The sequence below is a fragment of the Homo sapiens genome, chromosome 5 (assembly GCF_000001405.40).
Source record: "Homo sapiens chromosome 5, GRCh38.p14 Primary Assembly".
In the NCBI taxonomy this organism is placed as follows: domain Eukaryota; kingdom Metazoa; phylum Chordata; class Mammalia; order Primates; family Hominidae; genus Homo; species Homo sapiens.
Genome location: NC_000005.10, coordinates 90,202,229 through 90,219,309, shown reverse-complemented (window position 1 = coordinate 90,219,309; position 17,081 = coordinate 90,202,229). Strand labels below are relative to the sequence as shown.

Sequence of the window (17,081 nt, the reverse complement as noted above, 5' to 3'; positions counted from 1 at the left end):
TCTTTTGCTCTTCCTATACCTTCTTTCATTTTCTTAAATTGTAGTAAAATACACATAAAATTCACCATCTTAACTATTTTTAAATATGCAGTTCAGTGGTACAAAATACATTCAAAATGTTATATAACCATCACCACTATCCATCTTCATAAGTCTTTTCATCTTGTAAAATTGAAACTCCATACCCATTAAACAATACTTCCCTTTTCCCTCATCTCCAAGACCCTGGAAACTACCATTCTATTTTCTGTCTCTATAACTCATTATTCTAAGGACCTCATATAAGTGGAATCATAAAGTATATTTCTTTTTGTGACTGGCTTATTTCACTTATCGTAATGTCCTCGAGGTTCATCTAGGCTGTAGCATAAGTCAGAATTTCATTACAGGGCTGAATAATATTCCATTTTACTTATAGATCACAGTTTGCTTACTCATTCATCTGTCCATGAACAGTTGGGCTGCTTCCACATGTTAGCTATAGTGAATAACACTGCTACTAACATAGGTGTACAAATATCTCTTCAAGACCTTGTTTTCAGTTCTTTTCAGTATATACCCAGAAGACGAATTTCTGGATCACATAGTAATTCTATTTTTAATTTTTTGAGGAACTGCCACACTGTTTCCCATAGCATCTGTAACATTTTATGTTCCTTTCAATGGTGCATGAGGGTTACGCTTTTTCTAAGACCTTGCCAATTATTGTTTTTTTTTTCTTTTTGATAATAGACTTCCTAATGAGTATGAATTGGTAATTCATTGTAGTTTTCATTTGCATTTCTCTAATGATGAGTGATGTTGAGTATCTTTTCATGTGCTTATTGACCATTTCATGTCTTTTTTTTTTTTTGAGAAATGCCTCTTCAAGTCCTTTGTCCATTTTTGAATCAGGGTTTTTTGTTGTTGTTGAGTTTAAGGATGTCTCTATATACTCTGGATATTAGCCCCTTATCATATATATGATTTGCAACTATTTTCTCCCATTTTGTGGTTTTCTTTTTTACTCTGTTGATATTGTCTTTTGATGCACAAAAATTTTAAATTTCAATGAAGTTAAGTTTGTCCATTGTTGTTTTTGTTGTCTGTGACTTTGGTGTCATATCCAAGAAATTGCTGTCAAATCCAGTGTTATAAAGCTTTTGCTCAGTTTTCTTCTAAGAATTTTCTAGCTTTAGGCCTTACATTTAGGTATTTGATCTATTTTAAGTTAATCTGGCTAACTAACCACAAGTAAATACAGTGTTAGGAGAGATCCAACTTCATTTTTTGCATGTGGATATCCAGTTTTATAAGCACTATTTGTGAAAAAACTGTCTTCCCTCTATTGAATGATCTTGTCACCTTTATATTTATAGGGTCTCATATATATAGCATTTGACTCATATATAATAAGAGTTTATTTCTGGGCTCTCTATTTTATTCTATTCTATTCATTTATATGTTTGTTTTTATGCCAGTACCACACTGTTTAGATTACTATAGTTTTGTAGTAAGTTTTGAAACCAGGACATGAGCGTGAGTCCTCAAGCTTTGTTCTTCTTTTAGAAGATTGTTTTGGCTATTCAAGGCCCTCTGAGATTCCACATGAATTTTAGAAAAGAGTTTTCTAATTCTGCAAAAATATCAGTGAAATTTTGATAGGGATTACATTGAATCTGTAGATTGCTTGGGTAGTATTGATAGCTTAACAATATTGTCCTCTGCCCCATGAACATGGCATGTATTTCCATTTATTTATGTCTTCTCTAATTTTTTAAGCAATATTTTGTAGTTTTTATTGTAAAAGTCTTTCACTTCATTGGTTAAATTAATTCCCAAGTATTTTACTCTTTTTGAAGCTATTGTAAATGGAATTTAAAAAATAATTTTCTTTTCAGATTATTTCTTGTTAGTATATAGAAATGCAACTGATTTTCATGTATTGACCTCGTATTCTTCTTTTCTGTATTCATTTATTCTGACAGCATTTTTGGGGGTGTGGAATTTTTATGGTTTTGTAAATATAAGATCACATGATGTGTCTTCAAAAAGTTCATAGAAAATGCACATGATGGAAAAACTACGCATGGTTTTCAAAATACTTTTCCACCAAAATAAACTACCTTGTTATAATGTGCCTGAACAGGCTCTAGTCTGAGGTGCTAAGGGGATAAGATAAATTTGTAAAAAGCTCCTATCAGAGCAACATGAATGCTGCTGAAATTGAAGCAAGAATAAATGTCAAATTTATGGTGAAACTTGGTTGGAAGAATGGTGAAATCACTGATGCTTTAGAAAAGTTTACAGGAACGGTGTCCCAAGGAAATTAGCAATTTACAAATGAACAACTAGTTTGAAGAAGAGACAAAATGATGTTCAAGAAGAAGCCTTCAGCGGCAGACCATCCACACCAATTTATGAGAAAAACAATTCATCTTGCCTTTGCCCTAATTGAAGAGGATACAGCAATAGCCAACTCCATGGAAATCTCAGTTGGTTCAGCTTACACAATTCTGACCCCCAAAATTATAGGTGAGCAACTTTCCACTTAATGGGTACCAAAACTGTTGCACTCAGATCAGCTGCAGACAAAAGCAGAGCTTTCAATGGAAATTTAAAATGTGTGGGATCAAGGTCTTGAAGGATTCCTTCAAATAATTATAACAGGAGGTGAAACATGACTTTCCCAGTATGATCCTGAAGACATAGCACAATCAAAACAATGACTTTCAAGAAATGGAAGTGATCCAGTTAAGGCAAAAGCAGGTCAGTCAAGAGCGAGGGCCATGACAATGTTTTTTGGGACTGTTTAAGGAATTTTGCTTGTTGACTTTCTGGAGGGTCAAAGAACAATAACATCTGCTTATTTTGAGAGTTTTTTTGGATAAGGTTAGCCAAAGATTAAGCAGAGAAACACCCAGGAAATCTTTATCAGAGAGTCCTTCATCATCACAACAATGCTTCTACTCATTCTTCTTATCAAACAAGGACAATTTTGTGAGAGTTTTGATAGGAAATCATGAGGCATCCACCTGACAGTCCTGATTTGGCCCCTTCTGACTTCTTTTTATGTCTTATTATTAATAAATCTTTAAAAGGCCTTTACTTTTCTCTAGTTAATAGTTGAAAAATGAAGGCATTTACATGGTTAAATTCCTTGGGCCCTCAGTGATATAAGGATGGACTAAATGGCTATTATTATCATTTACAAAAGTGACTTTTATTTGGTGGAGTTTATGTTGAGAAATACAGTTTATATTCCTTATTTTTATCTTTTAATTTCATTTTTTTTCCATGTGCTCTAAAAAGTCCTGTAGTACCATCTGTGGGCAGAGATAATCTCACTTCTTAATTTTTCCATTTGTATGTCTTTTATTTTATTTTCTTACCTAATTGCTCTGGCTGGAACTTTCAGTACTATGTTGGATAGAAGTGGTGAAGTTGAACATCTTTGCCTTGTTGCAGATCTTAGAGGAAAATCTTTCATTTTTTCACCATTGAGTATGATGTTTTTTGTGGAGTTTTCATACATAGCTTTCATTAGGTTTCATACATAGTTTTTATTATGTTTATTAATTTTCTTCTATTCCTAGTTTATTATTTTTATCATGAAATGCTGTTGAATTTTGTCAAATTCTTTTTCTGTATCAATTGAAATGATCATTTTTTCTTCATTTTGTTAATGTGATGTAGTATATTGATTGATTTTAGTATGTTGAACCATCCTTGCATCCCAGGAATAAATCCCACTTGGCATGACATATAATCCTTTTAACATGCTGCTGAATTCAGTTTGAACATATTTTGTTGAGAAGTTTTGCATCAGTGTTCATAAGGGATATTAGTCTACAGTGTTGTAGTCTCTTGGTCTGACTTTGGTATCAAAGTAATGCTGGCCTCATGAAATTAGTTAGGAAGTGTTCCTTCCTCTTCAGTTTTGTGGAATCCCCCAATTCTTCTTCCTTCCCACTTCCTTTTTGTGTCCTGATTGCAAATGACAGGGAACCTGGACCACTTTGTGATCCACACAGCTTCAGGTTTTCTCCAGCAGGCTTGAATACAACCAGAAGCCTAGAGTATTCCTAGGCACTAATAGAAGTATCTAGGATGTTGCCAAAAACACTGAAAGAAGCTAGTCTTGACCCTGAGCCAAATTCCTTAAACCCTCATATAAACTCCATATCCTGATCTCCATGCTTTGGACATATACTCAAGTAGAATACCCCTTTCCTCTCACTGTCTGCAGTGAAGATTGCTGCAGCTCTCTGTACATAAGTTCCCCTAATAAATGCTTTGAATTTATCAGCCTGGCATTTAATGCTTCTTTCTTTAGAATTCCAACTGGCCAAATTTTGGGGTGATCTGAGGCATGCCCTTGTGAGAACTTCCCCATCCTTGATTTTGGGGGAAATTCTAGTTGTTGATTGAGGGGGAAAATTTTTTGGACAAGTTTGAGAAGAGCTGGTATTAGTTTTTTAAAAAATGTTTGGTAGAATTCACTACTGTAAACATCAGGTTCAGGGTTTTTCTTTGTCAGGAGATTTTTGATTACTAATTCAATTTCCTTAGTAGTTACAGGTCTATTTATATGTTTTATTTCTTCATAATTTAGTCTTAGTAGGTTTTGTGTTGCCAGGAATTGGTCCATTTCATCTAGGTTATCCAATTTCCTGATGTACAGTTGTTTATAGTACTTTCTTATAAATCCTTTTTACTTTTGTAGAGTTGGTATTAACATTTACACTTTCATTTCTGGTTTTAGTAATTTGATCCTTCTCTCTTTTTCTTAGTCTATCTTTTTATATCTTTTCAAATAATCAACTTTTGGTTTCATTGGTTTTCTCTATTTTTTTTCTATTATCTATTTTAATTATCTCCGATCTAATCTTTTTTATTTTCTTCCTTTTGCTAGGTTTGAGCTTAGTTTGTTCGTCTTTTTCTAGTTTCTTTTTTTTTAAATTTTTTTTTATTATACTATAAGTTTTAGGGTACATGTGCACATTGCGCAGGTTAGTTACATATGTATACATGTGCCATGCTGGTGTGCTGCACCCACTAACTTGTCATCTAGCATTAGGTATATCTCCCAATGCTATCCCTCCCCCCCCCCACCCACCCCACAACAGTCCCCAGAGTGTGATGTTCCCCTTCCTGTGTCCATGTGATCTCATTGTTCAATTCCCACCTATGAGTGAGAATATGCGGTGTTTGGTTTTTTGTTCTTGCCATAGTTTACTGAGAATGATGATTTCCAATTTCATCCATGTCCCTACAAAGGACATGAACTGATCACTTTTTATGGCTGCATAGTATTCCATGGTGTATATGTGCCACATTTTCTTAATCCAGTCTATCATTGTTGGACATTTGGGTTGGTTCCAAGTCTTTGCTATTGTGAATAATGCCGCAATAAACATACGTGTGCATGTGTCTTTATAGCAGCATGATTTATAGTCCTTTGGGTATATACCCAGTAATGGGATGGCTGGGTCAAATGGTATTTCTAGTTCTAGATCCCTGAGGAATCGCCACACTGACTTCCACAATGGTTGAACTAGTTTACAGTACTAGTTTACAGTCCCTCCAACAGTGTAAAAGTGTTCCTATTTCTCCACATCCTCTCCAGCACCTGTTGTTTCCTGAATTTTTAATGATAGCCATTCTAACTGGTGTGAGATGGTATCTCACTGTGGTTTTGATTTGCATTTCTCTGATGGCCAGTGATGGTGAGCATTTTTTCATGTGTTTTTTGGCTGCATAAATGCCTTCTTTTGAGAAGTGTCTATTCATGTCCTTTGCCCACTTTTTGATGGGGTTGTTTGTTTTTTTCTTGTAAATTTGTTTGAGTTCATTGTAGATTCTGGATATCAGCCCTTTGTCAGATGAGTAGGTTGTGAAAATTTTCTCCCATTTTGTAGGTTGCCTGTTCACTCTGATGGTAGTTTCTTTTGCTGTACAGAAGCTCTTTAGTTTAATTAGATCCCATTTGTCAATTTTGTCTTTTGTTGCCATTGCTTTTGGTGTTTTAGACATGAAGTCCTTGCCCATGCCTATGTCCTGAATGGTAATGCCTAGGTTTTCTTCTAGGGTTTCTGTGGTTTTAGGTCTAACGTTTAAGTCTTTAATCCATCTTGAATTGATTTTTGTATAAGGTGTAAGGAAGGGATCCAGTTTCAGCTTTCTACATATGGCTAGCCAGTTTTCCCAGCACCATTTATTAAATAGGGAATCCTTTCCCTACTGCTTGTTTTTCTCAGGTTTGTCAAAGATCAGATAGTTGTAGATATGCGGCGTTATTTCTGAGGGCTCTGATCTGTTCCATTGATCTATATCTCTGTTTTGGTACCAGTACCATGCTGTTTTGGTTACTGTAGCCTTGTAGTATAGTTTGAAGTCAGGTAGTGTGATGCCTCCAGCTTTGTTCTTTTGGCTTAGGATTGACTTGGCGATGCAGGCTCTTTTTTGGTTCCACATGAACTTTAAAGTAGTTTTTTCCAATTCTGTGAAGAAAGTCATTGGTAGCTTGATGGGGATGGCATTGAATCTGTAAATTACCTTGGGCAGTATGGCCATTTTCACGATATTGATTCTTCCTACCCATGAGCATGGAATGTTCTTCCATTTGTTTGTATCCTCTTTTATTTCCTTGAGCAGTGGTTTGTAGTTCTCCTTGAAGAGGTCCTTCACATCCCTTGTAAGTTGGATTCCTAGGTATTTTATTCTCTTTGAAGCAATTGTGAATGGGAGTTCACTCATGATTTGGCTCTCTGTTTGTCTGTTGTTGGTGTATAGGAATGCTTGTGATTTTTGTACATTGATTTTGTATCCTGAGACTTTGCTGAAGTTGCTTATCAGCTTAAGGAGATTTTGGGCTGAGACAATGGGGTTTTCTAGATATACAATCATGTCGTCTGCAAACAGGGACAATTTGACTTCCTCTTTTCCTAATTGAATACCCTTTACTTCCTTCTCCCGCCTAATTGCCCTGGCCAGCACTTCCAACACTACGTTGAATAGGAGTGGTGAGAGAGGGCATCCCTGTCTTGTGCCAGTTTTCAAAGGGAATGCTTCCAGTTTTTGCCCATTCAGTATGATATTGGCTGTGGGTTTGTCATAGATAGCTCTTGTTATTTTGAAATATGTCCCATCAATAGCTAATTTATTGAGATTTTTTAGCATGAAGGGTTGTTGAATTTTGTCAAAGGCCTTTTCTGCATCTATTGAGATAATCATGTGGTTTTTGTCTTTGGCTCTGTTTATATGCTGGATTACATGTATTGATTTGCGTATATTGAACCAGCCTTGCATCCCAGGGATGAAGCCCACTTGATCATGGTGGATAAGCTTTTGGATGTGCTGCTGGATTCAGTTTGCCAGTATTTTATTGAGGATTTTTGCATCAATGTTCATCAAGGATATTGGTCTAAAATTCTCTTTTTTGGTTGTGTCTCTGCCCGGCTTTGGTATCAGAATGATGCTGGCCTCATAAAATGAGTTAGGGAGGATTCCCTCTTTTTCTATTGATTGGAATAGTTTCAGAAGGAATTGTACCAGTTCCTCCTTGTACCTCTGGTAGAATTCGGCTGTGAATCCATCTGGTCCTGGACTCTTTTTTGTTGGTAAGCTATTGATTATTGCCACAATTTCAGCTCCTGTTATTGGTCTATTCAGAGATTCAACTTCTTCCTTGTTTAGTCTTGGGAGAGTGTATGTGTCGAGGAATTTAACCATTTCTTCTAGATTTTCTAGTTTATTTGCGTAGAGGTGTTTGTAGTATTCTCTGATGGTAGTTTGTATTTCTGTGGGATTGGTGGTGATATCCCCTTTATCATTTTTTATTGCATCTATTTGATTCTTCTCTCTTTTTGTCTTTATTAGTCTTGCTAGTGGTCTATCAATTTTGTTGATCCTTTCAAAAAAACAGCTCCTGGATTCATTAACTTTTTGAAGGGTTTTTTGTGTCTCTATTTCCTTCAGTTCTGCTCTGATTTTAGTTATTTCTTGCCTTCTGCTCGCTTTTGAATGTGTTTGCTCTTGCTTTTCTAGTTCTTTTAATTGTGATGTCAATTTTGGATCTTTCCTGCTTTCTCTTGTGGGCATTTAGTGCTATAAATTTCCCTCTACACACTGCTTTGAATGCGTCCCAGAGATTCTGGTATGTTGTGTCTTTGTTCTCGTTGGTTTCAAAGAACATCTTTATTTCTGCCTTCATTTTGTTATGTACCCAGTAGTCATTCAGGAGCAGGTTGTTCAGTTTCCATGTAGTTGAGCGGTTTTGAGTGAGATTCTTTATCCTGAGTTCTAGTCTGATTGCACTGTGGTCTGAGAGATAGTTTGTTATAATTTCTGTTCTTTTACATTTGCTGAGGAGAGCTTTACTTCCAAGTAAGTGGTCAATTTTGGAATAGGTGTGGTGTGGTGCTGAAAAAAATGTATATTCTGTTGATTTGGGGTGGAGAGTTCTGTAGATGTCTATTAGGTCCGCTTGGTGCAGAGCTGAGTTCAATTCCTGGGTATCCTTGTTGACTTTCTGTCTTGTTGATCTGTCTAATGTTGACAGTGGGGTGTTAAAGTCTCCCATTATTAATGTGTGGGAGTCTAAGTATATTTGTAGGTCACTCAGGACTTGCTTTATGAATCTTCGTGCTCCTGTATTGGGTGCATATATATTTAGGATAGTTAGCTCTTCTTGTTGAATTGATCCCTTTACCATTATGTAATGGCCTTCTTTGTCTCTTTTGATCTTTGTTGGTTTAAATTCTGTTTTATCAGAGACTAGGATTGCAACCCCTGCCTTTTTTTGTTGTCCATTTGCTTGGTAGATCTTCCTCCATCCCTTTATTTTGAGCGTATGTGTGTCTCTGCACGTGAGATGGGCTTCCTGAATACAGCACACTGATGGGTCTTGACTCTTTATCCAATTTGCCAGTCTGTGTCTTTTAATTGGAGCATTTAGTCCATTTACATTTAAAATTAATAGTGTTATGTGTGAATTTGATCCTGTCATTATGATGTTAGCTGGTTATTTTGCTCGTTAGTTGATGCAGTTTCTTCCTAGTCTTGATGGTCTTTACATTTTGGCATGATTTTGCAGCGGCTGGTACCGGTTGTTCCTTTCCATGTTTAGCGCTTCCTTCAGGAGCTCTTTTAGGGCAGGCCTGGTGGTGACAAAAACTCTCAGCATTTGCTTGTCTGTAAAGTATTTTATTTCTCCTTCACTTATGAAGCTTAGTTTGGCTGGATATGAAATTCTGGGTTGAAAATTCTTTTCTTTAAGAATGTTGAATATTGGCCCCCACTCTCTTCTGGCTTGTAGGGTTTCTGCCGAGAGATCCACTGTTAGTCTGATGGGCTTCCCTTTGAGGGTAACCCGAACTTTCTCTCTGGCTGCCTTTAACATTTTTTCCTTCATTTCAACTTTGGTGAATCTGACAATTATGTGTCTTGGAGTTGCTCTTCTCGAGGAGTATCTTTGTGGCGCTCTCTGTATTTCCTGAATCTGAACGTTGGCCTGCCTTGCTAGATTGGGGAAATTCTCCTGGATAATATCCTGCAGAGTGTTTTCCAACTTGGTTCCATTCTCCCCATCACTTTCAGGTACACCAATCAGACGTAGATTTGGTCTTTTCACATAGTCCCATATTTCTTGGAGGCTTTGCTCGTTTCTTTTTATTCTTTTTTCTCTAAACTTTCCTTCTCACTTCATTTCATTCATTTCCTCTTCCATTGCTGATACCCTTTCTTCCAGTTGATCGCATCGGCTCCTGAGGCTTCTGCATTCTTCATGTAGTTCTCGAGTCTTGGTTTTCAGCTCCATCAGCTCCTTTAAGCACTTCTCTGTATTGGTTATTCTAGTTATACATTCTTCTAAATTTTTTTCAAAGTTTTCAACTTCTTTGCCTTTGGTTTGAATGTCCTCCCATAGCTCAGAGTAATTTGATCGTCTGAAGCCTTCTTCTCTCAGCTCGTCAAAGTCATTCTCTGTCCAGCTTTGTTCTGCTGCTGGTGAGGAGCTGCGTTCCTTTGGAGGAGGAGAGGCGCTCTGATTTTTAGAGTTTCCATTTCTTCTGTTCTGTTTTTTCCCCATCTTTGTGGTTTTATCTACTTTTGGTCTTTGATGATGGTGATGTACAGATGGGTTTTTGGTTTGGATGTCCTTTCTGTTTGTTAGTTTTCCTTCTAACAGACAGGACCCTCAGCTGCAGGTCTGTTGGAGTACCCTGCAGTGTGAGGTGTCAGTGTGCCCCTGCTGGAGGGTGCCTCCCAGTTAGGCTGCTCAGGGGTCAGGGGTCAGGGACCCACTTGAGGAGGCAGTCTGCCCGTTCTCAGATCTCCAGCTGCGTACTGGGAGAACCCCTGCTCTCTTCAAAGCTGTCAGACAGGGACATTTAAGTCTGCAGAGGTTACTGCTGTCTTTTTGTTTGTCTGTGCCCTGCCCCCAGAGGTGGAGCCTACAGAGGCAGGCAGGCCTCCTTGAGCTGTGGTGGGCTCCACCCAGTTCGAGCTTCCCGGCTGCTTTGTTTACCTCAGCAAGCCTGGGCAATGGCGGGCGCCCCTCCCCCAGCCTCGCTGCCGCCTTGCAGTTTGATCTCAGACTGCTGTGCTAGCAATCAGCGAGACTCCGTGGGCTAGGACCCTCCGAGCCAGGTGCAGGATATAATCTCATTGTGCGCCGCTTTTTTAAGTCCGTTGGAAAAGCGCAGTATTCGGGTGGGAGTGACCCGATTTTCCAGGTGCCGTCCATCACCCCTTTCTTTGACTCGGAAAGGGAACTCCCTGACCCCTTGCGCTTCCCGAGTGAGGCAATGCCTCGCCCTGCTTCGGCTCCGGCACGGTGCGCGCACCCACTGACCTGCGCCCACTGTTTGGCACTCCCTAGCGAGATGAACCCGATACCTCAGATGGAAATGCAGAAATCACCTGTCTTCTGCGTCGCTCAGGCTGGGAGCTGTAGATTGGAGCGGTTCCTATTCTGCCATCTTGGCTCCTCCCTATACTATCTTCTAGTTTCTTAAGTTGTAAAGGTAGGTTGTTTATTTGAAATCTTTGTTTTTTCAAATACAAGCATTTATAGGTATAAATTTTTCCCTCAGCACCACTTTTGCTGTAAATTTTGATGTAAGGTTTTTGTTTTTGCCATCTCTAGGTATTTTCTAATTTCCCTTCTGATTTCTTCTTTGATCCATTCTTGTTTAATAATGATTAACAACAATATTATGAGTTGAGTGCATTGTTTAATATCCAAAAATTTATGAATTTTTCTGTTTTACTTTTTATTGATTTCTAAGATTATCCTGCTGTGGTTGGAGAAGATTCTTTGTATATTATCAACCTTTAAAATATATTGAATCTTGGGCCAGGCACAGTGGCTCATGCCTGTAATCCCAGCACTTTGGGAGGCCAAGGTGGGCAGATCACCTGAGGTTGGGAGTTTGAGACCAGCCTGGCCAACATGAGGAAACACCGTCTCTACTAAAAATACAAAAATTAGCCAGGCAGGGTGGCAGGTGCCTGTAATCCCAGCTACGTGGGAGGCTGAGGCAGGTGAATTACTTGAACCCAGGAGGCGGAGGTTGCAGTGAGCTGAGTTTGCACCATTGCACTCCAGCCTGGGTAACAGAGTAAGACTCCATCTCAAGAAAAAAGAATTTTTTATATATATATATATGTATATATACATACACACACACACACACATATATGTATATATAAACTTAATTTGTGGCTTAACATATGGTCTATCCCAGAAAATGTTCCAGGTGCACTTGAGAAAAATGTGTATATTGTGGTTGTTGAGTGGAGTGTTCTGCATCTGTCTATTACATCTAGTTGGCTTATTTTATTGTTTAAGTTATTTCTTTTATTTACTTTTTTTCCTGGTTGTTCTATCCAGTCTTGAGAGTAAGTTATTAAAATATGTAGAACTTTATATCTCTCCTTTAAATTCTGTCAGTTTTTGCATCATATATTTTGAAAGCCTGTTATTAGGTGCATAAATGTTTATAATTGTTATATTTTCTTATTGTATTAAAACTTTTATTAATATATAATATTTTTGCTTTGTCTCATTTTGTCTATTTTGTCCAATATTAACATGGCCACATTTAGTCTCTTTTAGTTACTAGTTATATGAAGTATCTTTTCCCATCCTTTCACTTTCAGTCTCTTTTGTCTTAAGATCTAAAACGAGTGAGTCTTTTATAAACAGCATATAGTTTGATCATAAAAGTTTAGAAATTCTGTCAATCTGTCTTTTGTACGAAGAGTTTAATACATTTACATTTAACATTATTACTAATTAGAAGGGACTTATTTCTGTCATTTTGCTATTTGTTTTCACCATGCCATATATGTTTGTATCATATATTTCTGTCATTTGTTATATGTTTTCTACATGCCTTTTGGTTTTGTCCCTCACTTCCTGCATTATTGTCTTCTTTTCTGTTTAATTTTTTTTGTAGTAAAACATTTAAATTCTTATGTTTAAATTATTCTCTCATTTTCTTTTGTATATTCTGTATTTATTTCCTTCATGATTAACTTGGGGATTACATTTAATAGACTAAAGTTGTGATAGTCTAATTTGAATTTATATCAGTTTAACTTCATTCATATACAAAAACTCTGCTTCTTTACCACTCATGTTTCCCTCCCTTTTAGTTCTTGTCACCAAATTATATCTTTATACATTGTGTGCTCCAAAACATAGTTACTTATTTTAAATGCATTACTCTCTTAAAAAATGTAGAAAACAGAATGTGTAGTTGTTGCAAATAAAAGTTACAGTAATATTAGATGTTAGACTAATAATTTTTTTAAAAGTATGTCTTTTAAATATTGTTACTGTAGAGAACAAAAAGTGAAGTTACAAATCATTGTTGCAATAGTACTAGCTTTTATAATTTCTCATGTATTTATCTTTATTGAGATCTTTATTTCTTCATATGGCTTTGAGTTAATGTCTACTGGCCTTTCACTTCACCCTGTAGGACTCCCTTGAGCATCTCTTATAGCATAGGTCTAGTGGTAATGAACTCCCTTGGCTTTTTTTTATCTGGGAATGTTCTCATTATTCCCTCAATTTTGAAAGACAGTTTTGCCATATATGTAATTCTTGGCTGACAGTTTTTTCTTTTAGTACTTTGAAAGTGGTAGCCCACTGCCTCTGGCCTTCAAAGTTCCCCATAAGAAATCTGCTGGTTATCTTATTGGGCATCCCTTATATATGATCAATTGCTTCTCTCTTGCTACTTTCAAGATTATTTGTCTTTCAAAAGTTTGCTTATATGTGTCTTGATGTGGATCTTTTTGAGTTCACCATACTTGGAGTTTATTGAGCTTCTTGGATGTTTATATTCATATTTATGTCTTTCATCAAATTTGAGAAGTTTTTAACTATTATTTCTTCAAATATTTTCTCAGCTGTTTTCTTTCTCTCTTCCCCTGGGACTCCCACAATACATATGTTAGTCTGCTTAATGCTGTACTATAGGTTCCTTAGGCTCCGTTCACTTTTCCTCAATCTTTTTTCTTTCTGTTTGTCTGACTTAGTAATTTCATTGTCCTAGCCTTATGTTTACTGATTCCTTTTTCTGTCTGTTCAAATCTGCCTTTGAATACCTCTAGGGAAATTTTCATTTCAATTATTATAATATTCAGCTCCAGAATTTCTTTTTGTTTTTTTTTTAGGTTATTTAACTCTTCATTGATATTTCCATTTTGTTCACTCATCATTTTCTTGACTTTCTGCACATCTCCTTTAGTTTTTTGACTATCTTTATTGTTTTAAAGTGTTTGTCTAGTAAATCTGCCATTAGCCCCTTTTCAGGGACAGTTTCTGTTGATTGATTGATTTATTCTTTGAATGGGCCATATTTTCCTGTTTCTTTATGTGCCCATGATTTTTTGTAGAAAACTGGACATTTGAATCTAATAATGTGCTAACTCTTTAAATCAGATTCTCTTCCTTCTCTAGAGTTTGCCGTTTTTTTGTTAATTTTGTTAGTTTTATTTTTATTTTTATTTTTTGATTGTTGAAGGCAGTCTGTGTGCTAAGGATAAGCCTGAGGTGTGAACTTAAGGTCTTCTCAGGTCTTTTCTGAGTCTGTGCCTTTCCCTGGGCATGCATGGTCACCTTCTACTTCCCCCATATATGCAGTTGTTTTTGAATGTCCTGGTCCTTAATATCTGGCTCCCAAAAAAGGAAAAAGGGAAAAGTGAGAGGAGAGAAAGGGTGTTGGCCCTTTAAATCCCCTGGAAGTCCTTTCAGCTGGAGGATTGAAGGGCTTGTAGCAACTGGGGGAGATGCAATAATAATGGCCACCTACCCCTTTGTCTGCACCTCTGTAATAGAAGCAGCAATCAGTAATCAGAGCACAGATTCCTGATATTTGGAGGATGGGACACTTTTTGCTCACTCTGGCTCCTACAAGCTCTGTACTTGTTGATTCAGGAATAGGTACACAACTGCCTGCTGTGGGGCTGAGGGTGGGGGATTGGTACCTGCTACTGTGATAAGAGCTGAAACAGACCCAAATCAACAGCAATTTGTCTTCAAGCCTTATTCTGGAAGTTATAATTCTTCAATAGATTCTACAGTTCCAAACTAGTTATATTAGACAAATTCTGTCAATGCAATTGTTTTCCAGGTGGGGGAACAGATTTCTGGTGCTTCCTACTCTGTCATCTTTTTGAACTCTTCTCATGTCTTTCTACATCTTTTTAGAATTAAAAATAATTCTTTAGATTACAACAATACAAACTAGATTTGGCCTATAGGCCATAGTTTTTCCAGCTAGCCTCAAAAAATAATCTGAATTAGTTTGGTTATGTTGTGGAAAGGTAGAATGAGCTTCAGAGGGCAGTTCATCACAGTTGTTTCCATTTCTCTGAGACTTATGAGACCCTCTTTATATAAGATTTGTCCTCAGGCTTGTTGCTTCACTATTACAATGTGGCTTCATAGAGCAACCAGAGAGCCATACTTCCTTATGCATATTTGAGGGATGGTGTGGTGGGGAAAGAAAAAGTCTGTGTTTACAAACACAAAACACAAATCATAAGCATCACTGATTGGACAGTCTTAAGGTTTTACACATCTTAAACTGATTCCTGAGACTAGGAATTTATAAGTGTGATTGGCTTAGGCTTGAGTTGTGTGAACTTTTGAAGATTGTGTGGCAAGAGAGATGAAGTTACCTGTGGCTCGAGCTCATTATTCTGGAATGGACCCTGAGATTTTGCTTTTTTAATGAGTTTCCAGGTGATGTTGACAGTGGATGGCCTTTGGAACACACTTTGAGTAATAAGGCTTAACTAAACCTAAACAGCACGACTACTAAATATAAAAAAATTGATGGAATAAATATTGAGGAGATAATCACAATGCTAAAACTTTCTAGAAATATGTTTTCTGTAGCTGTTGAAAATAATACAAGGGCAATATGTGAATTAGGTGAGGTCTCTACCATCAGGATACGAATGATATCTATTGCCAAAGCTTTACATCAAAAGAAATTGTTCTTCATAATGAGGAAGAAAAATTTAGAATTGTCAGGCCAATCCTGGAGAAATGAATGGAAAGGCACATAGGGAGAGGAAACTAGGAAGAGAGACAAATATATGAACTACCTTATGTAATCACATTTTTACTTATGAATGCCTGTGAAAACTAAAAGAATATTGATTTTCATGTGGAGTGAAGCAGAGGTAATATCTGAGGAAGATAGAGGCACAAAGGCAAAGGATAACAATGTGTGTAATTGCCTCAAGAATTACTATAATTCTTAGGGGTGCCACTCAAAGAACTGGGGAGTTATCAGAAAGTTTATAGTCCAAAGAAAGCCATCCAATCTTTAACATTTGAGTTATATGCAGTATTTTATTTATTACCCCAGTGACATTGTAAGGTAGGTATTATTATCTGTTTTAAAATGAGAAAACCAAAGCTCTGAAATATTGAAAAACCTGTCCAGGGTTTCATAGAAAGCAGACTGGGGATTTGAACCCCAATTTGTCTAACCACAAAACCCATTTTCTTTTGGTTATACTAGTCATTAAAAAAATTGAACAAAACAAAACTTTAAAAAATGAAGTAGTGGATTTAGTGGTGGCTTGAGAATTTCTATATTGAAGAGATTTGGAGGCAACAACCTGTATGTTTTGGCCAAGGGACTTGTCTTGAGGCTGTGTTTGCATAGTAAGCATACTATTTCTACTTAGATTGTATAGTTACTTAAAATGTTTTTTTTGGGAGGATCTGTTAAAACCCTAACTCAGTTTTTCATGGTATCCCTGTGTGGGACCAATATTTAATAGAAATAAAATTCAATTTCTTTCTTGCTGTTTCTGAAGCATCTTGAAGAAACCATAAAAACCACTGAACTCTATGCTTCCTGTTATTTTTTACTGTATAAATGAAGAAACTGAGACCAGAAATTTAAAATGAATTGTCCAAGGTAACACACCAAGATAGAAGCAGTTATTCCAAGGACTATTCAATGCAAATGCTTAGAGAGAGACACATTTCTTCAGTTTGTGTTTACTGTGCAAATAAAAATTAAAACATTTGTCTCAAGTGTTGAAGTTCTTTGAGATTTGTAGAAAGTAGAATACTTGAGAATTAGAACTTACTTTCTCTATAGAAGCAGCATCATATGAAGCACATGACATGTATTTTTAGTTTCTAGTATAGTATATTTTATTTGTTTTTGTTTTATCTTTGTGTTTATTACATTATTATAATTTTGAAGGTTTGCATAGTTTTTAATCAAAAATGTTATTTTTTATTTTAAATATTTGATTTTATACAAATCCCATTTTTACTTATAACACATACTACATACAAAGGCCAAATTTTTGCCACCAAAATACATATCTGAATTTATGTTAAAATCAATGACAGATTAAAAGAAATTTACATAAGAATGTTTTTTCTCTTAATGTGCTACTTAAATCAAGTGACCAGTGTGTTACATTATTTTGATATCATAATTGTCAATTACATTGCTTTTAATAGGCAGTAGTTCCTTGTTATAAAAGTATCTTTAAAAAATATAGATGCATAAATTCATCTGAATTCAGTATTGACTCTGCCTCTT

At 36.4% G+C, this 17,081-nt stretch overlaps 1 long non-coding RNA gene across 1 annotated transcript in view, besides 1 other annotated feature; it reads left to right on the top strand.

Moving 5' to 3' along the window:
- LINC01339 (long intergenic non-protein coding RNA 1339) overlaps window positions 1-17,081 on the top strand; it is a 131,733-nt gene that overhangs the window by 70,762 nt on the left and 43,890 nt on the right. The gene's annotated exons all lie outside the window — the stretch shown is intronic.
- Window positions 10,016-10,632: an enhancer, noted in NCBI's record as "H3K27ac-H3K4me1 hESC enhancer chr5:89504495-89505111 (GRCh37/hg19 assembly coordinates)". NCBI's record gives its function as "activates a minimal SCP1, AML or CMV promoter by ChIP-STARR-seq in primed H9 embryonic stem cells {active_cell/tissue: H9 hESC(primed)}" and the evidence as "EXISTENCE:reporter gene assay evidence [ECO:0000049][PMID:30033119]".